General features: G+C 44.3%; 1 protein-coding gene across 45 annotated transcripts in view, besides 1 other annotated feature; it reads right to left on the bottom strand.

Annotated features, from left to right (window-relative positions):
* The window catches only part of FHOD3 (formin homology 2 domain containing 3), a 482,508-nt gene that overhangs the window by 68,209 nt on the left and 389,031 nt on the right, over positions 1-25,268 (bottom strand). For 28 of the 45 annotated variants that reach the window (XM_011526189.2, XM_011526190.3, XM_017026008.2 and 25 more), the window contains 3 exons: positions 24,834-24,884; positions 18,589-18,803; positions 2,621-2,917 (listed from right to left, as the gene is read on the bottom strand). In XM_011526189.2, coding sequence (XP_011524491.1) covers positions 2,621-2,917; positions 18,589-18,803; positions 24,834-24,884 — 563 coding nt within the window. The remainder of the gene's footprint in view (positions 1-2,620; positions 2,918-18,588; positions 18,804-24,833; positions 24,885-25,268) is intronic. The other 17 variants (XM_047437842.1, XM_047437848.1, NM_001281739.3 and 14 more) reach the window with 3 other exon arrangements.
* Positions 4,295-4,796: an enhancer, noted in NCBI's record as "H3K4me1 hESC enhancer chr18:34287179-34287680 (GRCh37/hg19 assembly coordinates)". NCBI's record gives its function as "activates a minimal SCP1, AML or CMV promoter by ChIP-STARR-seq in naive H9 embryonic stem cells {active_cell/tissue: H9 hESC(naive)}" and the evidence as "EXISTENCE:reporter gene assay evidence [ECO:0000049][PMID:30033119]".

Below are 25,268 nucleotides of genomic sequence, written 5' to 3'. Positions count from 1 at the left end.
GTGCCCCCTCCCTTGGCCTCACTGGCATCTTCCCAGGGAAATTAAATCACTGACTCACATTGCCTTATTACCTCCAAGGGACGCGGGAGGTTCAGCTTCTTATCAGTCTCCATTGACTCTGGGTCAGGTTTTTCATTAGTGCCTGTCTAGGGTACAAGTATTAATAAGTAAAAAGCCTGTGTTCTATTCTGTTAGGCAATCCTTTTCCCAGTCCTTTGGCTAGGGGAATAAGTTTTACTTGGAGCTTCACTGTCATATAATTTAAGTCCAGAGGTTCCTAGGCAGTCTGCATTCTTCTTTCCACTTTTCACAGTCCTCCTCTGATTATTCTGGTATTCTCAGGGTGCTGCTATGTTGGTTGTAAGAGGGAGGACCCAGGAGCAATGAAGCTTCCCCATCTTAGCCAGACGCCTCTTCATTTATTCATCGATTGTTTTGTGAGACCCTGCTAGGAAGTGAGGACTCACGATGAATAGACAGACATCCCCACCCTCACAAAGCTGACATTCAAGTGGAGACAAAGGACAATTATGCAAGTAACTACAAAAAAGTAAAATGTATGTTATGATAAAGCTTCTCACATGCATGCCCTAAAGTAGAACACATTAAACAAAGAAAAATTAAACCACATAACTGGAATGAGACTTTTTCAAGTCCTACAAATTCATTTTTGACATAATCATTAGAAATACGTTTGAGAATAATTTTTTATCTCTAAGGTTGCTCTGTGATTTGACAGCACTCTGAAAAGCAAGAGCTATAATGACATAGCTGCCCGGACTCCACAGTGGCTGATGATGCCTGTGAGCAGTGAGATTTTTTAGGAACCAATAAGCTACAGTAAATAAACATGACCAACTCTCATAACAGCACTGAAGCAAAGCAGAAAAATCATTGCAAAGCCCTAATTTCTGCTTCTAAATACTTGGACATTGCCCACTTTGGTAGAAAGTCAGTGGTTCTTCACTGGGAACGGTTTCCACTTTTGGAAAATTGTCCTTCTTTGGAAGAATATTGGACAATCTGATCCAAGAAAGCCCTGTCGCCTGGTATATTTTTACTAATCCAATTTCTTGATATGTTTTAGGCCTGCTAAACCCAGTTATGATTAATAATTCTTAAAGCTATTCCTAATAAATAAAACATGATTTAAGACCAATCTGATCAATAAGACTTACCCTACACCCAGTATTATGACAATAATTACATTAATATGAATGATAAGAAGAATTTGGGGGACTAACTGTAATCTGACTTTGAAAGAAATTAAGTAAATATCAGTATATATAATACCTCTTGGCACATACATATTCAACCAAATGAAGACACTGGATTTTCAATGCAATAATTCCTAAGATGTAAACTAATAAAGTCTTTTATCTTCTTGTTTTTACTGCATCATAGTGACCAGCAATATAAAGCATAAAATCTAGTAGTATATTCTAACTGGGAAAAAATCCAAATAGTAACTATTTTAGACTACGCCATTGACTGACAGGTCTATTGGAAGACATTCTGGTTTCATTCATTCGTTCATCCATGCTTCTGAGACAATGTATTTTTAATCTAGGAATGAATAAGCCATTCATGGGTCATGGCACTGGTTGGCAGGCCTTTGTAGAGGTGTCATATTGCCCTTTGGGCCTAAGACATCGACTCGAGTGGGTGCCACTCATATGTAGCTTAAGAAAGGCTGGCCCATAAGACATGACTCCACTGGTTAGGAGTGTTTGTTGAGGAAGGAGGCATTCTACCACCTTGATAGCACACAAGTCATGGGTAGGAAAAGTAATCCTGTGGTGTCACAGATCATATGAATTATTCACGATTCCTATAACCCTCTGTGGCACCCTTCTCAAGTCCTTGGTGAGGTTCTTTCAGGCTAAACCAAACCTATAATCTAACATTCCATTTGGTCCCTAATTCTAAAGTTACCATTCATAGGAGAACTGAATGAGTATTAAGTGTAACATCAAAAAGATATACTTCCATAAGGAAAAGCATATACTTTATACAAAGAAAAGAATAGTTATGAGTGTAATATAGAAAACAAATTATCTATATTCCAGTACATCAAATTGACCTCAGTAAACTGTGTACAATTTTTTGGAAATACTCATTCAATCCATTTAAACAAATCTTTCCCAGTCTGAAATGTCCAGTCAAAATGATTAACACACTTCAGTAAACACATTTTTAAAGGAATAGATGACAATGTGACAGTTTCTAAACTTATATCAAAAACGGAAAAAGCCTTACTATTATCAACCTTACTATTATTCACAATGGAACAGTCAGGGGGAAGTGAGAGGTTTCTCTTCTGGGGCTTATTCCTCAGGAAAAGCCCTCCTTATCGGGGCCCTTTTCCCCAGGTGTGGAGGTGATGAATGTGATGGTGTGGCAGACAGTTTGGGGGCTGTCTTTCTACAGGGCAGAAGGCTGCTGGCTGGCTGCCAGCGTGGCCACACTCCTTGTCCCCAGACACTGGGTGACACAGCCACATGAGTGGGTTGACCCAGGTCACCTCAGAGGCCAGCCTGTGGACAAGCTCTTAGAGAACCAGCCCCTGCACCCCAGGCCTCCCTGGCACATGCCGACTGAAACAAGGGGCTTCATTTACCAGTTGTCCTGTCCCTGGAGAGCTTGTCCTCCTTCTCCTCCCTCTCCAACGTGCTGCTGGAGGACGAGACGCTGGAGGCAGAGCAGTTGTCCCTCTCGTTCACCCCCTCGTTCTGCCTCTCTTTTTCACTGAGGGAGGCTCTTTCTTCCGGCTCTTGCTCTAGTGCCTGCTCCACTTCAGTCTCTGCACCCTCGTGGGCAGAGGCTATGTCCTGGCCAGCTTCATCAGCAACCTGCCCCGCCCCTGCCTCTGCTTCCGGTTCTGCCTCTGATTCGGGTTCAGGATCCCCGGCACTTGCTGGTGGAGACAACAATGGAGATTATATTGACGACAGATTTCTTGGAAGGGTGAAGTGAGGTGAGAATGAATGTGAGGTTGATTTCTCTGTGGTGGACAGATGTCCAAAGATGGCCCCCAAGAGACCTATGCCCTGGTTATTCAAACACTCATCGAGGCAATGCTGTGAAGGGATTGTGCAGATGACAGGAAAGTCCCTAGTCAGTGACCTTACGATATGGAGGTTTACTAGATGAGTTGGATCCAATCAGGAAAGGCTTTTAAAGGCAGAGAGTTTTCCAATTGGCAGCAGAAAAGGAAGTCAGAGATTCGAAGCAGGAGAAGGATCTGCCACATCACTGCTGCTTGACAGGGAATGCAGGTGGCCTCTAGAAGCTGAGAACCACCACTGGTCAACAGCCTACCAGGAACAGGGACTTCAGTTCTGTGGGCACAAGGAACTGGATGTTGCTATCACCCTCAATGAGGCTGGAAGTGGACTCTTCCCAGAGTCTCCCAATAAGAGCCCAGCCAGCCGCAGCCTTAATTCCAGCCTTGTGGCAGTGGACAGGCAAGGTCAAGAGCTCAGCTGAGCTGTGCTAAACTTCTGACAGATGGAAACTGTGAGATAATAAACGAGTGTTGTTTCCAATCGCTATGTCTGTGGAAACTTGTTACACAGCAATACGAAACTAATATATAACCTTTTTGCCTGTTTAGGGAAAGAGAAACAAAATCCATGGTGGATCAAGCTGATGAAAAACAGCTAATGTGTCCTGAAATCAGTTGGCTGAACCAGTGAGGTTCATCACCCTTTTCTTGGGTTATATTTGCTCATAATGTGAAGTTAGTTTGAGATTTTGAAAGCAGTTTGGAAGAATCACTCATGGTCACAGTCTATTTGCAAACCTATCAACGCTGGAGATTTGATGCTGTCACTGAGGTAAGATGATCATGTTCTCACTCGTGTGACACTCTAGGGAACAGGGAAATGGCACAATCTGGCTTATGCTTTTTTAAAATTTTTTTATTTTTATTTATTTATTTTTTCTGAGCAAAACCCTCAGCTATGAGCTGTGGATGTGTAGCAAAATGATCGAGAATACACAAAATTCTGAGCCAACTGCCACACATGAAGGCTGGAGGAGGGTGGCTCACTCTTAAGGGAACTGCCCTCAGGCTGAGCAAAGCCCACTCTTCTGGAACCCTGGCAATGCACTCTAAGGGTGTGTGCTTGAACCCTAGGTACACACTGCTCAAAGCAACACAGAAATTCTGGCAGGGTCTACGCATGGCAGGGGCTGGAAGGGACCTGCCCAGATTCCATGAGAACACGCAGATCAGGGCAGCTCTCTGTGGAGGCATCCTGCGGCACCAGGTAATGGGCACGGCTGGCCATGGGGTGCACAGAACCAGCCCCCCAGCAGGCTGGGCATGGGCATTACTAAGGGAAAGGGACATTCAGGCCTCACTAGGCAGGGGGCCCAGCTAACCCCAGCTTCCCAGCAACTCATTCTTCAGGACCCACGGGGCCATCACCCCCCAATCCTTCATCTGCTCTCAGGCTGCCATCCTCTGAGGATGAGTCAGGGAGTTAGCTGGGCAGGGAAGATGCAGTGGAGCAGATGAAATGTCACCTTTCCTGATATTCCTGGGCAACTTCCAAATCCCACTCCTCCGTGGAAATGTCCCCAAGTGCCAGGTAGGAATTTGGGGGTGGAGGAGTAAATTCCTCTCCTTTGATTACAGGTTGTGCATCTTCTACTGGGAACTCCAGCCTGGGGCAGGAACCTGCTTCCAGGGAAGGCTGGAGGACATGGGGAGGGGCAGCAAAGACCCCCCTGCAGCTGAGGGGCTGTCCCTCCTGGGCATCCCAAGAGGGGAAGGCTTTAGGAACTGGAGATCTGAGGGCATAGTTTCCAGACAGAGATTCATGGGTGGCAGTTACAGAAGGAAGCCAATGGGCACACAGCTGTGAGGCCACGTGTCTGAGAATGAGAGCATCATACACTCTTCCTTAAAAGTAAAAACTGTGCTGGGTCATGGGATGGAGTGAACAGGCCTTTTAGAAACATTCCCTTTGGTACTGAAGGAATTTTTATGGTAATTTCTTTTTCATCTGATAATAGAGTATTTAGGAGAGATACAAAACCCCATTAATTTTACAAGCATGGCAAGAGCACAGCCTCAGCAGCGGCAGCGTCATCATTTGGTTGACAGAAAGCACATGTTTTTGCACACATGGACTTCAAAATAGCCACATCAAAACAAAAATGTGTTTCCAACAGCCCAGCATGTGGCATGGACTGAAGTTTTAATTGGTAAGCATATGGTGAAAACCAGCAAGGGCCCCTCCTGGCGGCTTCATTACAGACAGGGACATGGGGTCAGTTGGCTGCCATAAGCCTGTGTCTACTCACCACCCCAGGGATCTGGGCAAAGTAGGGAGGCTCTGTGATTGATGGCTATTTGACTTCAGCCTGCGGGTGTGCACTGCCATGTTCCATTCCACTGAACATGCAGGACTCTACCCAAGCAGCGGCTCTGGCCCTGATTAGGCTGCCTGGGCAGGTGTGCTAACAGACACGCGAGCTCTGGAAAAGCCACACTCTTGTGGGGGAGGAGTACAATTTCATCCCAATACACTAGGGCCTAACTTCTTGGAATCAGGTATTTCAATTTGTGATTTCAACCACTGGGGTGGTATCTTTTTTTCATGACTGCTGGGGAGGTAGTAATCGGCAAAGTCATCTCCTGCCCAGAATACATGACTCAGTGTCTACAAGGTCTGATTGCAAATCTGAGGCCATCCTAATGATGAACAAATTAAATAACTGTCACACACATTCAAGTCAAGCAAAACTGCCAGGGTCCACGGCAGAGCCCTTCTCTAGCTGTCTTAATCAAACACAGGAAAGTTGTCTGAGGGCCAAGACCTTGCCTTCCTCTCCTGCTGGAGGGCCCCAGCGTGGTCCTGGGGCCAGCGTCTGCTCACAGCATTCTTACTGATACTCAGGAAGCACCCAGGACAGCCCTGAGACTCCACACCGAACTCCAGAACATTTCTCCTCCCCTTTCCCATTATCTTTCAGCAGGATTTCCCTCACTCATACTTCTCTCCGTGCACACACACACACACACACACACACACACACACACACACACACAGTTCCTTCTGAGTGTCTCTAAGCCAGGTCTGCTGCCCTCTGGGAAAATGCAGGAAAACGTCTCATTTATACCCACCAAGTCCCGAGGAAACGGGAGAAACCATATAATCCTGTAGGAAAAGTCCTAAAGGGAGCTATGACCTTTGGCAACAACTAGGGAGAAAAGGTGCTTGTTTCCCTCCTAGGAATGTTTACAACTTCTCACTGTTACCAGTCCCAGAATTTAATGAGCCTTTCTCTGGCCTGAAAATGTGGTGTTGGTGGTGAAAGACAGACACAGCGACCCATGAGACTGACCTAGCTCTGTCACAGAGGCTAGAGAGAAGCAGATTAGAGAGGATCCTGAACAACCTGCCGTGATATCCGTGTGGCAAAAGTGAGTGAGCTCTGCCACCAGTGGGCACAGGGAAACCCCCACCTCTCAACTGCCAGCAGACACAATAACGAAAATACTTTTGTAAGAGTGATGGATGTGTAAGATAAAATGCACGGTGCCCTGGGAAGGCATGGCAAGGGTCTTTGGCAAGGCCTGGAACGTAAGTCTCTGTGGCAAAATGATGTTTGAGTCTCAAGGGGTAAAAATGAGTTAAAAGGGGGGAAATGCTGAGAATGCCCTGGGCAGAGGGAAGTGCACATGCAGGCACCCAGAGCCCACTGCGTGCCGGAGGGAATGAAAGCTGCGTGGCCTGGCAGGAGGAGTGAGAGGAGGTTTGGGTGGTTGTCAGGGGCCAGGGCAACCAGCGCTGTGTGTTGATGGAGGGATCTGGGACTTTACTCTAAGGACAGTGATGTCTGCTCTGTGTTTCATTTTGTCTGAGGTGAGCCCTGTCTCCACCTGCATCACAGGCAAGCAAGGCTTTCTGCTGGGAACAGCTTGGGTGTGCCTGCGAGCTGTGGAGTGAGGCCCCTAGTCAGTGTGGAATCAAGAGTCCACGAAGCAAACCTTAGAGAGAGAGACAGAGGAGGAAGAGGTGAACACCAATCAGTGGAGCTCAAGAGAAAAAGAAAATAAAAACACAGCACCACTGGAAGAACACATGGGTAAGGGACTGAGACTCTGAACAGCAGGAGGTTTTTCCATCCCAGACATCAGCTGGGGGAGGAACCGTGTTCACACCGGAGCGGGGCAGGGAGTTCCGCAGGGCTGCTGGCTCCCTTTGAGGAATGGTTACTGAGCACTTCACAGGAACTGCCTTCCGAAGCCCTCACGATCTCTCTATGGGGAGGGCTCTGGTATTACCCTCAGAAAGCTGAGGCCAGGAGAGAACAGTGAAGGCCCGTGCCAGGGTGGCCAGGCAGGAAGGAGCAGAGTGTCCCTTCCCCAGCATGTAATGCCTCTAAGCATCTTCAAGGGAGGCTCAGGAGTGACTGTGATACCCCAAACCCAGCAGGTCAAGAGATGCCACGGCTCACCATGCTTGTCCATAACCACCCTGGATGGAGGAAGGACACAAAGATCTGATTGCATCTCCTGGGCTGTGCAAGGGAGGAGGGGAACTGCAGGAAGGACTTGGGCCAGGTGCCCAGGCAACCCTTCTCCTAGCAGTGGGCGTGCATTTGGAAATAAAAGGAAGACATGGCAAGGAATGCCTGGTAACATTACAGGCATCCAAAACTGGGATCTGTCTTCCTGGGTCACAGCCCAAGAGCGCAGATCGATGGGGTCTCAGCATCGCTAGGATGCACTTAGCAAAGACCAGAAAAATGTGTTTGGCCAGAGCCTGCACTGACCTGGCTCCGAGGGCTTGCAGCTAGATTTGAAGGTTGGGGTAGGGGGAATAGAAGGGCCAAAGAAGAAAATCAACACTAAACTGCATAAAAGGATGTGGTAATGGATACTTTCTGCAAGGTGGAAGAAGTAATAGAAAAGAAGGGGTCCAGGGTATCCTCAAAGAGACATAACAGGGTACTGGGCTGTCACCAACCACCCTGTGGGGAAGGACCCATAACCAGAACACAGCCACTAAAAGGAATTCTTCACCCCAAAGAAACAGACATTACTGGAGTGAGTGGGGTTTGGGAAACCAGGATGGGAACCCATCAACATGAGAACCCATGGAAGGGGGGAGAAACTAAGTGCTTTTCTTAGGTGTAAGAATATAAAGGCTGCCCCGTCAGATGGAGAATGTGACCATGCTTTCCTCATGCAGGTCGCAAAATGAGGAGAGAAATGAGGAACGAGCCGGCCTGAGGACTTCGGCCAGCTGGTCCCTGTATGAAGTCCGCCAGGGCAGACCATCACTCACACAATCTTGTTTTCTTTGTCCCTCCCAAATCCCAACACCAACTCCTCATCTGGTCCCCAAAACCTCACTGGACATCAGGTCCTGCTTGCCTAAGTGCAGTAAAAATCAAACTTACTACATATTGAGCACCTTCTACACCCAGATGCTGTACCAGGAATCATATTACATCATCCTCTTTGGTTCCCACACCTACAATATAAAGTGAAGATTGATGTCCCCATGTGAGAAATAAGGAAACATGTTCAGAGAGGTTAAGCAACTTGCCCAGAGCTACACAGTAGGCTGGCTACTCTCTGACTGTTTGATCCATGCTCTGTTCTGCTCTGTGCCTGAGGATGCTGACTCCCGCACAGAACACCAGCTGTATTTGCTCTCCCTCTCCCTGGCTCAGCCCCTGGAAGTTCTAGCAAAGGTAGGAAGAAGGAAACTGGGATATTAACACCCCTGCTTCCTTCACGTAGGGCCTTAGTTTGGCAGAGGTTGTCAGGCCACTGTTTCTGTCCCTTGGTCTCTCTCCTCTGGCCACAACTCTTACCAAGTCCTAGTCATTCACCAAGTTTCTTCAGGCCTGAAGGTGGGAACAGTGTCCCACGACCGCTAGTCTCTGGGTGAAGCATCACCACATTTTGATGGTCCCATGACCTCCCTATACCTCTGTAAACAGTCCCTTCACTGAATATATTCAGCAACCCTCTGACCAACAGGACCTCACTGCTAAGCAGAGCTCATGCTAGCAGAGCTTGCATTTGAACCTGGATTGGCTGGACTGCAAAGCTCGGGCTGTTAATCACAGGGCTATACTGTGTGGTGGGTGACTTAAGCAATCAAGAAGTACATAATCATTCCTGGAATTAAGCGTGTACGCACACGTGCACACACACACGCGCACACACACACAGTGGGCAGGAATGTTTCAATGTTGCTTTCATCCACGTCCCTGACAGCCGAGTTCAGAGTGTCCAATTAGAATTTCTGGTTATGCAATTTTTCTTTGAAGTGATAAATTGGTGGTAGAAAGTTCTGAACTTGATACATCTCTGGGTGGCTTCAGTTGATTTCAATCTGTGGTAGTGTCTAGATGACTCTGCCAGGACTTGGCTTTCTGGCAGGTCTTATGAAACCAAGGGCTGGGCCAGCCAGTTCTATAATAGTTGCTCCAAACTGTGTAGATTCCAGGGACCTCCCCAGCTCAGAGCTAATAACTAACACGATTGACTACAGACGTGTGTTTTAATCACAGAAATCTGAAAAAGGTCCCAAGAGAAAAAAGCTTACAACTTTCAAAATCTTTTAGACTTTGCCTTTGGTGTTAGACCAGTTCTTCCTAGGTTGTTCACTTGGATTCACTCTAGAGCAAGGTTTCTCAGCCTGGGTACCTGGGTATTCTAGGTTGAATAATTCCTTCTTCTGGGAGACTGTCTCATGAGCTGCAGGATGTTTAGCAGAATCCCTGGTTTCTACTCACTAGAGGCTTCAGCACCAACCTTCCACTTCTCCTCTGCTATTGTGGCAACTGAAAATGTCTCCAGACACTGCCAAATGTCCCCCAGGAGAGCAAACTCACCCCTGGTTGAGAATCACTGCTCTACAGGAATAGTTGCATGAGGATGGGCACAAACTCAGCTTCACAAAAGAAATTCTACTCAAGCCTCACAAAAGAGACAGCTTATCACTTGCAAAATACTGATTCAATAGCCTAATTTTTATGCCTTAAAAGTTAAGCCATGCTTTGTCCTCAAGTTTCAGAGTTTGATTTTCCAGAGGTTCAGACCTAAGCCCCACTGAAGATGACTTCAGAGATGGCTTAGGCCTGAACCTGCTTGACCCGAACAATTTTGACCATGTATAGTCAAAATTACCTTCAAAAGTCCCTTTGGACAGTGCTACCTTATAGATCCCATAACTTCTCCATGGTTTTGACAATCACGGTTTTAATTTAGCGTCAGTGGAACTCCTTAAGTGCTGGGATTGCATTCATGGGCTGTGTTACCCCCAAATACAAATCTGTAAACTCTAAACTCACATTTGAAGCAGCAAATTGTTCATACGACAAGGGGCACGTTGGAATCAGGAATGGTTCAAGGAAAAGAAGAAAAGATCTATGCTCCTTGTGGTCATGCTCCCTCAGGGACATGCACTTAATATGAATGTTAGACAGGATTAAAAGCGCTATTTAAATTAGAATTTCCACTTCCCACTCTTGCCCCTCAGATTACGCTTCTGATTAAGTTCACTTGCTTAAATATGTATATAATGCTACTGTAGTATCATACAGGATAAAAAAGAAGCAATTTCAGGTTCAATTATTCTCATATTGATAACATATAGGGTGACTATTCTATTAGAGTCAGATCCTCAGAAAGAAATGGCCCAGATATGTCAACTCTCTGTAAAAGTTTCCTCTCTATTAATTATACCAACATCATTTATTCAGTCCTTATGGAGTGGCCTGCATAGTCAAAGATGTGTCCTCCACCCATGGCTCATGTAATAAATTTCTTCCTGGGTAGAGAGGAAACAGCTGTCTCTGCAGATTCATGAGTCTGCTTTCTTTTGTCATGCTTGACCATTCGCCAACTCATAACCCATGTACTGAATGCTTGTTCTGCTCCAAGCACTGGGAATAACAAAGGTGGGCACAGGCACGTGCCCTGCCCGAGGCACACGTAGATGCTTGGGAGGAGCAACTTATCACATGGACAGTGAGGTAAGCCCTGCATCCCAACTGTGCACAAGATGCAAGGGAAACACAAGAGAGGGATCAAGGGCGGCTTTAGAGAAGAGAAGATGCCTCAGCTCGATGAAGAGTCCAGGGGGCACCCAATGGAAGAGTGCACTCCAAGCACAGAGCATGGCATTTTCAGGTACTGACTGTGGTTTGGTGTGGATGGAGCATAACATTTGTTGGGGGGTGGCTGTGGTGGTTGGTACTGGGTACAAAGGGTCTTGAATGCCACATAAGATCTGAATTTATGTGGTAGATAATGGAGAGCCACCCGATAATTTTAAGAAAAGGTACAGAGATCTTTTTTTTAAATTGGGTTGCTGAGAAGAGCCTGGAAGAAGTGAAACCTATCAGAAGTGATTGAAATGGCCCAGATCAGAGATGGTTGAGGCCAGGACTAACGCAATGGCAATGAAGAGAAAAGAAAGAGGGCTGATTTGAGAGAAAACAACACAAAAGACACTTGGGGATTGATTGGATGTAAGGTAAGTGTTGAAGGAGGAATCAAAAATTATATGAATGTTCCAGCTTAAATGATTGGGCCACGAGAGATAGCCTTAACCAGGTGGGGACTAGAAAATATAAGCAGGTTTCGGGTGGGGGTTTCTGGATGAGAGATAGACATCACCTTCCATCTGAACAGCCCTCAGCCTGGCACTTGGTGGGTCTGAAGAGTTGGAGGGGCATTTAGTGGAGATGGCTGGGGAAGTGCAATACACACGCCCTGAGCTCAGGGAGGCCAAGGCTGGCAGTACAGACCTCAGGGATTCAAGGCATATGGGAGGTAGGTAAAAATCACAGGTGGAATGCGAGGGCCCAGTGAGAGGATGTGTATGAAGATAGAGAGGAGCTGGAGAGGAACTTCAGAAAAACCCACCACGTAGTGAAAAGGCAGAAGAGGAGTCAGTGAGAGGATTGCAACCAAACAATGAGAAAAGACTAAGACAAATGTTGAGAAAACAATGAGAAATGCACGCGACTCAAAAGGCAACTATCCTGTTTAGCCTGGAGATGATCTAGAGGACAAAGAGGCATCCAGAGGGGGATGGATCCAGAAAGTCAACAAAAAGCGACTTGAACTTCCCGATGTATCTGGCAGAGGCAGCCTTCTCACAGAAGTTACAAATTCAAAAGGCTCCAAAGATGCATATCATGCCCAGAGGCAGATGAAACACACTGCATGGTCACTGAACCCAGAGGTTCTCCTGAAAAAGTGTATTTCAGGTACCAGAAAGTCAACGTGAGTGTGTCTTGCCATACTGCAGGTGTTGTATCATTTTGAACAAATGTGTTCCAAAGATGGATGGGGGAAAGCAGGGCTGCTGAAGGGAAAGGGGGAGTGGTGGAGATAGCAGAGTAGTGATTAAGATCTTGAGCATGGACAAGGATGCTAGAAGGAGCCCCAGAGTTATTCTCCTTTGCTAATTTCCCCAGTCTCAGTCATTGTCTGGAAATTCAAAGTACCACTGTGGCTCAAGAACCCTCATTGTCCTGACATGTGGAGCCTCCTGACTGCACCTGAAAGCACTGACCCAAGGCTCCCACCTGGGATGAAAGGTGCAGATGTCTCACCCAGCCAACAAGCCAGATTCTCTGTGAGTGTCTCCAGATGCAGCAAACTTGTTCATCCCAAGTGCCTGCTCCAGGCGAGGTCTTGTAGCTCCTGAGGCACTTTCTTTTTTGTTAAATAAGAACAAGCTAATTGCTGTTCAAAACTTGAATTTTTTGTTTACACTAAACAGACTTTAGGATACAAATTTCATAGTAAAGGTTGATTTAAAACCATTATAATCTAATATTAGGAAACAACTATCTACAGCTCTCCCACGTTTCTTCAGTCTTGCAAGCAAAGGCATTGATAGTCTTTTCTGCACTATCTTTCTAAGGATGTGTGCATAGCAAGGAGCCTTAGAAGACAGGGTCTTCTCTTAGAAGATAGGGTCTCCCTAGAGCAAAGATCTGGTTGGTTTATTGCCCACTGTAATAAAGACAATGTCTCCCTCTGGGACAAACGGAAGGCATGTTTACCGCCCATTATAAAAGAGTTCAGGTCCCCAAGGCTCAGGGTTCCTTTCCCCAGGTTCCCCACAATGTGCCTGCATGTTTTACTGGGCCCTATTCACATCACCCTGTGGGAACTGAGGCTTGGGGAAATGGCACAAATGTTGATATTCTGGCTATTGCTATCACTAGAAGTAATGAAGTCCTTTGTCTCTGACCCAGGAATTTTGTGTCTTCTGCCAGCATCCACGGAATTGTGGCAAGGCAGCACATTAGCTTACAAATAGGGTAATGTTTCAGTTCCTTCATAGCTCTTGACACCTAATAGCTGCCTAGGAAATAATAATTTTGATCAGGTAATGTCCACCTCCCCTTCTCTTTTTTTTGGAGTTGGGGTCTTGCTCTGTTACCCAGGCTGTAGTGCTGTGGCGAGACCATAGCTCACTGCAGCCTTGAACTCCTGGGTTCAAGCTATTCTCTTGCCTTAGAAATAATGCTCTTCTTTACCAACTTTTCCAGTGCCATTCTATGCCTATCTTTACTTAAGGTATATACTTTGTCTACTTCAGAAGGACTCAATCCCAATTAATGTTTCCAAATATGATGCAAGAAGACACACTTCAGACAACTGTCATTTCTATGAGGAGAAAAAGGGAAATTTTTAGAGACTGAGAAATGGCAAGGCAGAAAAACTCGATGATTTGCAAAGGCTGCCCACAGCAGGTGTAGCAGGTAGGACCTCAGCCTTGGGTAGAGTTGCTGAAAGATTTTGTCCAATTGACAAAATGGTATCAAGTAGCAGCAGTCAGGTGAGGCAGGGAGGGAGGCAGCCCTGAGTCATAGAACCACAAGGAATCTAGTTTCCTGCCAATTCATGAAACACTGAACTGGAGGCATCCAAAAGGTTTATGCAAGAGAACTAGCATGCAGTGTTAGGCTGATGATGGACAATATTCCATTGCTACCGTGCCAGTTGGAAATAGGATACCAGATGTTTCTGATTTCTGCTGTGTGGATTAGATAACCTCAGAGAGTCCCTACACCTGAAGGAGACTCAGAACATCTTCCACAACGAAGATGACAAAGACAGTCAACGCTAACAATGATGACAGCCAAAAGGACAAATGGATGCCCACAGGAAAAATCATTTAGACAAACTAAACATTTCATGATACTCTATGTCTAAATTTTATTTCCAGGTTTGAGGATCAGGAGGCTACAGGAATCGCCATATTTACCCATACTTTAAATGCCTGCATCTGTGACAGGAAGTATCATTAACCTTTGTCAATAATGTCTGCTGGTGAGTAGGCCATGGCCATATAGGCCGTATATATCCCCAGGGCCAAACAATCAGACATTTGGAAATACCCTGGAATCCAATTACAGGTAGAGAAAAAAATCACTGTCAAACGTATTTTTCCTTGACATAAATAAAAATAATATAGTGTGGCATCATTTTCAAATGTATCTGTGATGTATTATTTCTGTGTGCAATATGGAGAGTATCAAGCTCATAATAAAATACTGTAGACATAATTTTGCTTTCATGGCTAGGTTAGTGGGTGAAAGCCACTTCTAAATTCTTGACAGCTGCTTCCTTCCACTGGGAAATGCCATTTATCTCCACCTGGCCTCAGGAGGGACTCGTTTACAAGAGGGAGCAAGGAGGGAACATAGTTCTAGCTCTCTAGAGAAGGCAGCTTAACCCCGGGATGCCCTCCAGGGACCACCATCAACATATGGTTTTCAGGTGAGTAGTTTCTCTCTATTCTGTTTCCATGAAATAGGTTACCTGGATCTGACATAAATTGTGATAAGAGGTTATCTGGCTATCTTGACTTTACTTATGGGTACACAGATTATTATTATTAGTTTTCATCCTCAGAGAAACTTTCTCAAGAATTATGTTGAAGAACTCTATCCTAATAAGAACACTGTACCTTTTCTGACAAAGAGAATCACTTAGGTGCTTTCAGAATCATCTATGAGTTTCTAAAAATAATAGGAAATAAACTTACTAAGTAGATATTCTGATGTCTACCCCCAGGGATCAGTGAAAATAAGGAAAAGATATCAAAGCAATGAATGAAGAGATGCCTTTCCATGTTTGCCCAAACTTTGGGCTGGCTGACTCCATTAATTCCAACACAGTGCAAACAGGAGCGTGTGTATGTCTTTCTTTCCCTCCCTTGGGCTGGTACTTTTAGAAAGAAGGAAAGTACTTAGACCATCATCACCAAGTCTAGGCAGTATGGGGACATACATCTGCTAAGCCCACAAGAGGGTCAGATGGAAAATTAATTCAAGCATGTATTGACTTGGTGGTGGGGATTAGGGGCATCATTCATACAAAAGTTATAGCAGATTAACCTGGGGAAGCTTTTGGCTGAGAGATCTCACTAGATGGCATATCATGCTATCAGTATTTATCATTAGCCTTTCCCTTTTAAAAAGTACGTTTTGTAAGACAAAAGGAAAAGGAGTTTTTAATGTTTTCCTATCTTCTTCTTTCAAAAGTTCTTCAGAATCTGAAACAGGAGTTATAAAAGAAAGAACCCATAAAGGGACCTGTACTCCTGAGGCACAGAAAATTCAATAACAAATATTAGTTTTTCCTTTTCTTGTAAATATAATTCTGAAATGTAGGCTGCAATTTTTGCAGATGTTGGTGAGAGGGTTAGCAAAGGGATGGTGTGGCATTAATATGAATAGCAATGCAAACATGGTAGAGCCATGACTCCATGACAAATGGCTGAGATGGGCATCAGAACACTAATTACACTCCCAGCACTGTGCCAAGATGGTCTGAAGCACAGCTTTCCATCTATCTGGGCCTCAGTAAAACATGGATAATAACATCTCCCCTACCTACCCAGATACGTTTGGGAAAAAGGGGCACAGCACTACAAAAATGTGAAGCGTATTATGATTGCATGTTCCCACAAGGATAAAGAGTGAAAAAGCAAGGCAATCCCTGGCACGTTTGGACATGCCAGGTGTTTGGTGCAGGACCAACATCTGGATGTGTGATTATATTTTTAATTCTTCCTCCAGATGTCAGGATACTGGAAATGCTAGGGATAAGCAAAAGGTTACTTTTGAACATTTGAAAATGGGACTTGGTAAAAAGAATATACTATTAATTGGATGCTAACAGAATGCTTCAAAGAATAAAGTAGGCTGAGAAAAACTTGGTGACACCAACTTTGCATTTCTGTCATAAAGGCCAATGTCTACAAAGCAGAAGGAAACCTCTGCGGTTCTTTCTGAGACCACCATCTTTTCATACACTTGCGATGTCCAATTTTATAAATCAATTACATATCAGGACAAGGAAGACTGTTTGCTCTTGCTGATTTGGATCCTGATTACTTAACATACAATGGACAGCTCTTCTAGATCTCACAGGAGCCAGTACTTTTGACTTTTTTCCAGGAAAAAAGCAAACAACATCAAATGATGCTAGAATTCTTGGTTATATGCAGATTCAAGCCCAGTATTCCTCTTTCAGAAGCAGGTATCATTTATTGTGTAATTTTGGTCAAACATTCTCTCAGTCTCTATTAATCCCTTCTCTGAAGAGAAAATAACACTTGCAAATATTCTTTTTTTTTTTTTTTATTTTTGAGACGGTGTCTCACTCTGTCACCCAGGCTGGAGTGCAATGGCACAATCTTGGCTCACTGCAACCTCCGCCTCCTGGGTTCGATTCTCCTCCCTCAGCCTCCTAAGTAGCTGAGATTACAGGCATGCGCCACCACGCCCGGCTAATTTTTTTGTATTTTTTTTTTTTAGCAGAGACCGGTTTTCTCCACGTTGGTCAGGCCGGTCTTGAACTCCCGACCTCAGGTGATCCACCCACCTCGGCCTCCCAAAGTGCTGGGATTACACGCAAGAGCCACTGTGCCCAGCTGCAAATATTCTTTTGAAAGCATACTGACATATCTTCCCCAAATGCATACTACACACACACACGCACACACACACACACACACACCCACGTATACATGAAATGACTATTTTCTGTATTCTTACTGAAGCTGAAATATTCTTTTGCAGTGGCTAGAATGGTCTCGAGTTAAACTGTAATTCAATCAAATACGTAAGAAATTATCTTTTGCCACAAACATCAAGGAGAGAAATTGTCTTTTGCCACAAACATCAAGGAGATTAAAAATTTGAGGACAAATGACATTTACAGACACTGTCAATTCCCTCTCAGCTCGGAGCTGTTCTGTACTTCACAGTTTAGACAATCATTCTGTAAAGGACGGGAGATACAACTTTTAGTTAAACGTCCCAGGATAAAGTGCTGAACCACAACTCTGCAGGAGGATATCTCTCATATTGCCTCTGGAAATACCACAACGTAGATAATAGCAATGATATAAGGCAGGGTTTGGAAAGCACACGGCTGTTATAGAACAGTCTCTTTTCTTGACTTTCAGAGTCTCAATATTTTAAGACCGACATTACTCATCCATGACTGAGCCATCTGCCTGGGACAATCTTCCATGGCTCAGGGATCGGGAGTAACGGGATGTCACGGGAAGCTGTGGAGGAGCCGGCCCGCTCCAGCAGAATGAGCCAAGGTTTGGAGAGCCAGCAAAGAATTGGACAGACAATATCGTTCCATTATATCCAGTTCTGCTAAGGTCATGGAGTCCGGCCTTGTTTAAATTAAACTTTATGCCATATTTAGTCAACCCTCCTAGAATTAAAAGCTTAATGCCTCTGCTGTCTTCAATTGGCTAAGTCTACATCAGGCTGTAAGCCATAACACTTGACTAAAGCAAACAGTGCTAGCAGGAGGGTTAGTCAACACACACTGTGTAAACGCTGCTGAGAACCATCCCTGTGTTAATGTGAAAGAAAACGGACCCACAGTATGCAGAGCAGGCAGGAAAACAGCTGATGCTCAAGGCTGCAGTGTACAATATCATCGCGCCTCTCCAAATAAAGTGAAGAAGACAGAATATCTCCCAGGAGAGCTTGCCTGTCTGTACATAAGGACGTACACACACACACCCACATCCAACCATGTGCCAGTAATTTTTACAATTTGAATTATTTTCCTTCTTCCATATTTACCTTCTATTTTCACTAGGTCCACATTTTTCTTTGCTTGCTGTAATTAATTTTATTCTCCTTCAGTTTAATTTAAACCAGACTAACAGTTCCTCGGGTAAGAACATTCGAATGTTGGTCACTTGATTGGGCAGACCCACATCTCAAAATGATAAAGTATTAAATGAATATTCCAGTATTTAGGATTAAATGTTAAAGTAAAGCTTATTTTCCATATTCTCCTTTTTCCATGGCCATACATTGACAACTTTGATGAATCATTTTGCTTTAATATAAGTGGCTCTGAAGACGTCTAGTTTGTTAGTGACCAGGCAGTTGCAGTCACAACCCCCCTCCCCCAACAAAGTGTACCCATAGTTGCTGTCTCAGTATTAGCCTGCAGGTTGAAATCATCACTACTGCCCTGAGGAAGCCTGTCTGATGTTAACCTGTTCATTTTCCCTCTACTCTCCCTGTACTCACCTTGGGGATGGTGAGGGGTTCCTGGGGAGGAGGCAGACACCGTGAGAGCCTCTTGAGAGTCTGAAGATGAGGGGCTATGGCTCAGAGGAGCCAGGCAGGCTGGGGCTGCTGGCGAGGTCAGGTCCAAGGAGAGGTCGGCTCTGCCCCGGCTCACACTCCGGCTTCTCAGCTCCTTCTCGTGCTCCTCAGCTGCCAACTGTTCCAAGTATTTGTATCTGAAAGTTAAATTCCAAAGGGTTTCCGTCAAACGAAAGAGGAGCCTGTGGCTGATGCTTGTTTATGGATGAAACACCTGCAGAATGAGCCGGTTTCCTGATGCACACAGCACAGTGCAGGGCTGGCTGGAGAGTCAGCCTGCCAAAAACACCCAGCAAAGCCAAGATGCTAATGATTAAAAATCCCACGTCACTCATAACCAAGCAAATTGGGGGAAATGGCAGCATCACACAGTCCCTAGATACTGGATCACTGCTGCAGAATCCTATCTTGCTCTTTTAGGGAACATTTGTAAATAAGCAAAACAGCAATAACCACCACCAAAAAGCCTCAAGAGTGATGGCTGAAAACCAAACCCCCTCGGAGCTCACAGCTGTGAAATGGGTGGGTGCCTTGGTGTGGCAGAGAGAAAAAAAATGCCCCCCATATACCAAAGGGGGTTGCTTGGATGAAGGCCTGCCTCTCTGAATTTCTGAACCTGCTTCAATACTAACAGCAATGTAACTGGAATTCACTTTGTTCTCTCAGTGCTGACCATGGAAACTTTTTTTATATTCTAAAATATTTCTGAGTAGGAATCAGACATCCAATAGCTTGAACCTGACGTCACATAGAGTTTATTCATCAAAGTCAGTTTAAAAGAACAAAGATACATCTGTTTTGCATTTCAGGCAGGCAGAACCCACTAACTGTTTATTAAGACCAGCTACCAATCATATTCCTCATAGTGCGCTTTATAGATCAGACCAAAATAACTTTGAAATGTGTGCCTCTTCCAGATGTCTGCTAATTTTACTCACCATTATTTTTTCAGAAATAAATTTATGCATTCAGCTGTAACAGGTTTCTTACTATCTTACCTACCACTAAACTTTGGAACAGCTTACTCAAGACGCTCACTTTGCATCTATCCAATTCACTGCTTCAGTTCCTCACAATGGGCATTAGACATGGTGTTCCTCATTTACCCAGATAAGAAAGGCAGAGCACATAATTAAAATATTTTAAAACAATGCATTTAAAAAGCATGCATTTTTTGCATCCCATCCTCAAGGTGGGTGTGGTTTCTCGATCTGTAATCCTCACCCCTTTTCCCTGCCAGCCCAAAGGCAGTCCACCCTTCGGACCACACTTGCATGCACATCTCCCTCCAGGAAGGCTGCCTTGACCACCACAGCTGGAAGTGATCTTGGCCTTGCCTCTGAACTCATGTCGGATATGTAGTCCCTTCAACTCAGATGGCATTTTACATTTACTGCCTGGCATATTTAGTCATCTGTTCACATGTGTATGTCTGTTTTCAAAAAGCAAATAATAGGATTTTCATGAACAGGAAGATTACCATCCTCTGTTCTTTCCCTCGGTGCCTTGCATTTGCAGGCTGATGGGAAGCAGGCAGAGCATGCAGGGAGAAGCCTGCAGAGTGGCACCCCACCTGCAGAGGTCCACCTGCAGCCCAGGATGCTGAGGGAGCAAATGCATCCCATTTCATTTTTGTGGGGAATGAGCTTGCATTCATGGTGAATCTCTGATAAAAGGTGTGTAGTGCATGTATATGTAGACACAAACACTTCAGGCTTGGCCAAGAGCACCACCTCTTGAGGGGTAAGAGAGGCAACAAAAGGAATGTGTTTGTGGCCTTAATTCGGGCCAGCAAGAAAAAGCCACTTGGCTGTGGAAGTAACAAGAACCTTGAAAGAAAACAATTTTAAGGGTAAGAGGCAGGGCCTCCAGCAGGTATGTGTTAAATGGGATGGTGGCAAGTTCAAGGCCAGAAATGCCCTAAGTCCAGGAGTTGTGAGCACAGGCATTCCCACACTGCTGCCACAGGATAAAGGGGCAGGCAAGAAATGAGTGCAAATAAGAGAATCTGGACAGGTCCAGGAATTCAGGAGGTCAGAATCCCACTGCAAGAAATCAAATGAGTCTGGAGTGGGTGGTGGTGATGAAGCCCTCAATGAAAGGCTTCCAGCCAGGAGGACATCCCACTTGCTGCATTCATTTTTGCTGGCTCATTCCTGGTCCTGGCCTTCTGCATGCCTCTCTGTGGGCAGCCAGGTGGGCAGGAATTTGTGGGGAGCCAAAGGGTTTAACCCACTTTCTGGGAGACTCCAGGGGCCACTCATCCCAGAGCCTGTATATATTTGACTCAAATGCTATTCCTGTGTACCCTTTGGCCTCACAGATGCCATCACTGAAGATCTGTAAGACATGGGAAGAGTTAGAGGTTTAATCTGAATTGTCCCAAAACATGATGTTTATGTGTTAGACAAAAATGGTAGAAGCAGAGGTAGAGGGATGGTGAGTTGTTGCTTCATGGATAAAGAGGTTCAGTTTTATAAGATGAGAAGAGTCTGGAGACTGGTTACACAACAATGTGAATGCACTTAATGCTACTGAAATACACATTTAAAATGGTTAAGATGGTCAATTTCATGTGATGTGCATTTGATCATAATTAAAAGTTTTTTTTTTATATGGCGGGGCAGAGAGGCATGGAGGTCAAGAGCACTAAACCTTTCTGAAAAAGCAGCAGCAGCGTTCATCTGCAGTGGCCAGAGTGGTGAAGGCGGTGGGCTGGTACGCGGAGACGGCCATGCCACAGGCATTTACGGTGTTACAGCTTAGCGACCCCTCCTGCCCCAGAAGAACCTCCAGCAGTTCTTGGGGAGGAAGCTGGACCTATGTCATGACCTTTTCCTAGACAATGACTTAAGTGCTATGGGGCCCAATAGTACTTGATCTGAGGACCCACCGGCCCATGCAATGACTGTCACGTATCCCTGCTGCCATGCGAAGCCACACTCAATCCACAGACCGACAGAGCCTCCTCTGTGGGAAGCACCGGGCTTTCTATCCACAAACCACAGCCCCAAGAAAAGACTTCCTACTTTTGCTGCCTTCATCCAAACATTCCCGTTTATCCTCTGCCTATATCATTTGTTTGTTCATTCATCTTTTCATTTATTTATTGAATGTTTGTCAAGTGCCTGTCATGTGCCAAGAACTGTAGTGGGCACTCACGATTTAATAATAAACAAGGAAAAATCCCACCCTCACAGAGCTCACAGTTCAGTGGGAGAGAGAGACAAATAAACCACTGGGATGAACTCCAACATCCGCCAGAGCTCAGTGGCAGGGCTGGTACTGCGGCTCAGTCTCTTTTCACAGGGCCCTACAGAAACTCTGCTTGACTTTAGATTAACCTAGACCTACTTACTGATGACTTTTCCTGCCACACTTCTATTTGGAAATTCTCACTTACATTAAAGTAAACTCTGGCTCCCTTTAACTTCTGCCCTGTTCTCAGTCCTTCTAAGCAAGGCTCAGAACCCTTTCTTACTGCTTCATTGATCATTTTCATGCACAATTTCCAAAACCCTAGCCCAGTTCCAACCTTTTCTTTGCACTTTGTTCCCATAGCCCCTGTTTGCTATAAAGCATTTCTTCTCCATGCCCTGCTGTCTCCCTCAGACTAACAAACCCAAACAGAAGTATCCTCCTGTGCTACCCCACAACACACCCCCAGCCTGGCTCATTCCTTACTACACACACTTCTTTTTTCTCCTTTAAATTATTTGTGAATGTCATTTTAATCAATCATTATCCTATAAAGCCTTTCTTCTAATACTTAAAAGGATGAGAAGTAGCATCTCAACAGAAACTTACTCCTGGTCTGCACCATTGCCAATAACATAGTTTGTCTGAAATTATGGAGTGAGATGATATGAAATAATATAACATGTATCCAGATGGTCACTACACCTCAAAATAAGATGACATTCATCTTGTTACAGTTACATGATACAAACCTCAAAAACCATCTGCTGTGACTCTGGCTGTCTTTTTCTGAGTCTTGCATTAAGGGTAAGAGATGTGGGACTTGACAAACACACATTGCTCTATCTGGAAGAGTTACTTTTCCTTATTTCTGTACTACTTCCCACCTCTGATCTCTACTAGTTTCCATTTCCAAATTCCATTATACTTGGAAATCTTACTTTTTCCTGGCTTAGTAGGAACTCTTAAAAGCTTTTGAAACAGGGATGAAAGTCTATATTTCCCCTAACTCCCATCTTCACCAGGTTATTCAAGAAGAAAACTAACAAGAAAAATGGCTGAGCCAAACCAAAGGAAAATGCGTGCCTGCTTCCCTAGACCTCCGTGTAAACAGAGAGGTGGCTTCAAGGGAAGAATCCCACAGTGGGCCTGGGGAGCACACTCCTGTGTCCAGGCTGATGGGCAGCCTGGGAGCAAAGACTATGGGCAGAACCAGAGGAGAGAGGAGAAGCAGCAACCTCCTCTTACGAGTTTGCCAGACATAAGTGAAGTCTTGTTTGGACAAAAAAGAGCAGTAAATAATATCCAGAAAGAGCTGGACTTCCGTGGTTTGGGGAAATTTTGAAGTCAGCTGAGCCAGTTCAGATCTTGACACAGCACTTAAACCACCTCCCCAGGAGCTGCCAAGCCTTGTCTGTGTGGACTTAACCTAACAGTCAAGTTGTTGAAAGCTCAAATAAGTACAGAATCTGGGGGGAGAACTAAAATAATAAAATTTAGTTCCTTATGCCTGGGCAGGAAGTCAACCGCATTTTCAGTGAAAGTATATGTGATGCCCTCTGATGTAAAAAACAGGTACTAGTGAGAAATATAAGCTTCCTATTTCTTTAGCAGCATGTTTCACTCTAGATTTGCCAGCCACAACTGGTTATTAGGATGACAATAATCAAATAGAATGTTGGAATCAAAGTAATGCCATCATTTTATTTAAGAGGTTGATCTAAGCATCTAATTCTTAAATTGAAGACAGGCAGTCTCCACTCTTCCCTGCCTCAGAGACTGTCCTGATGTATTTAGCTGGTGTTTAGAAAATTAGCACAATTCTACTTCTTATTGGCCCAGTCCAGAAATTGTTAGGTTCCCAGCTGGCTCCAGCATAAAAGGTGTTAAAAGCAGTCTTTCCATCTCTCCATGCAGTCACCCCACCTGGTGGTAGAGGGGACAACTGCAGGCTATAAAGAGCTGGGGGTGAAAACTTGTCTTTTGCCAGTCTACTTGTAAAACCAGTTTCCACTGTTTCTCTGCATTTATTAGACACTGAACATCTTTGTATCTTTTATTGAGATTCAAAGCATGTTGCCATTGAAATATACTACTGATCAACACCAGAGTTTTGAGCTGCTCTGTTATATGACCTAGGCTGGTTCGAATATTACAGCAACATTTTAATAACATACTTCTTAATCTTATAAAGTAATGTATCTCATATATGTTTTTCTTACAAAATTGTATACAAATATTCTGTGGATAGAAATTTAAAAATGTATTCATGCATTTTCTAGTTAGCATCACAAACCACAAAGATTCGTACCATAAATGAAGTAGTTTTTAAAATGAAAAAAAGAAATAAAGTAGTTTACAGCTTGAATATTTTAAATAAAGCTGTTGGTTCATTTACTCATTTACTGATTCCATATATTATTCCTAAGTCCCAACTACATGCCAAGCACTGTGGTGGGTACTGGGGAAATAAAGGAAATCTAGGCATTGTTCCTGCCATCGAGGAGCTGAGTACAGTTCAGTAGGGAGACAGGTAAGTGACCAGGCACATCCAGAAAGAGTCTCAGATATATCTAGTGCCCCCAGCTGCTGCCTGGCACAGTGTGGATACTAAAATATTTCTTGAAGGAGTGCTGACCATGTGACATAAAAGCATGCATTAGGAACATGTAGTCCAGGCTCAGCAGTGGTGGTGCAGGGTATTTCAAATATATGCCCTATGTCATTATGCTAACATAAACGTGCTCATTTGAAGGAATAGACACACTTAACCATGATGGCACCAAATGACAACTCCATACTTTTATTGGAAAATTTAGGTAACTAGTACACTCTGTTCTGCAAAATGCCAGCTATGTAAGGTTTTAGGTGAAGCAGTTATATTTTAATCGACAGTCTCTCTGCATGCTAGGTTAACAGTGCAAAGTCACATGCCATTTGTTACAATGGGAAAGAAGAAATATACAAACCTTTCTTCTCTTGCTTGCCTTTGCTCCTCTCTTTTGTCTAAATAATCTCGGCTAATGGAAATATGTAGAACAAACAAACAGGAAAAGAAAGTAACAGAATTAGATACTCAGAAAATTACCAATAAATTATAAACAGTATATCATGAAAGACTGGCACTGCCTCAGAAATGTAAAATGGTTGTAGCTGAATTTTTAAAAGTTTAAAGCCTGTACTTCAAAATTATTAAATACAATCGATCTTCAATACAATCACAGGGATTGCAGAAAACATAGGATTATTGGATTCACCCAGAAACACTACTAATTACTTGTTGGAAAGAATGTAAGTATCTGAGGAAAGAGAAGTTTTTAAAAAATCCATAAATAAAATACAGCAATAACAAGCAAGCAATAGCTTTTGGAGGTGATTAGCATCCAGTTGAGCTCTGGTAGCTT

Source organism: Homo sapiens, chromosome 18 (genome assembly GCF_000001405.40).
Source record: "Homo sapiens chromosome 18, GRCh38.p14 Primary Assembly".
NCBI classification, from domain to species: domain Eukaryota; kingdom Metazoa; phylum Chordata; class Mammalia; order Primates; family Hominidae; genus Homo; species Homo sapiens.
Note: the sequence above shows the minus strand (reverse complement) of the source record. Positions and strands in the feature narration are given on the sequence as shown.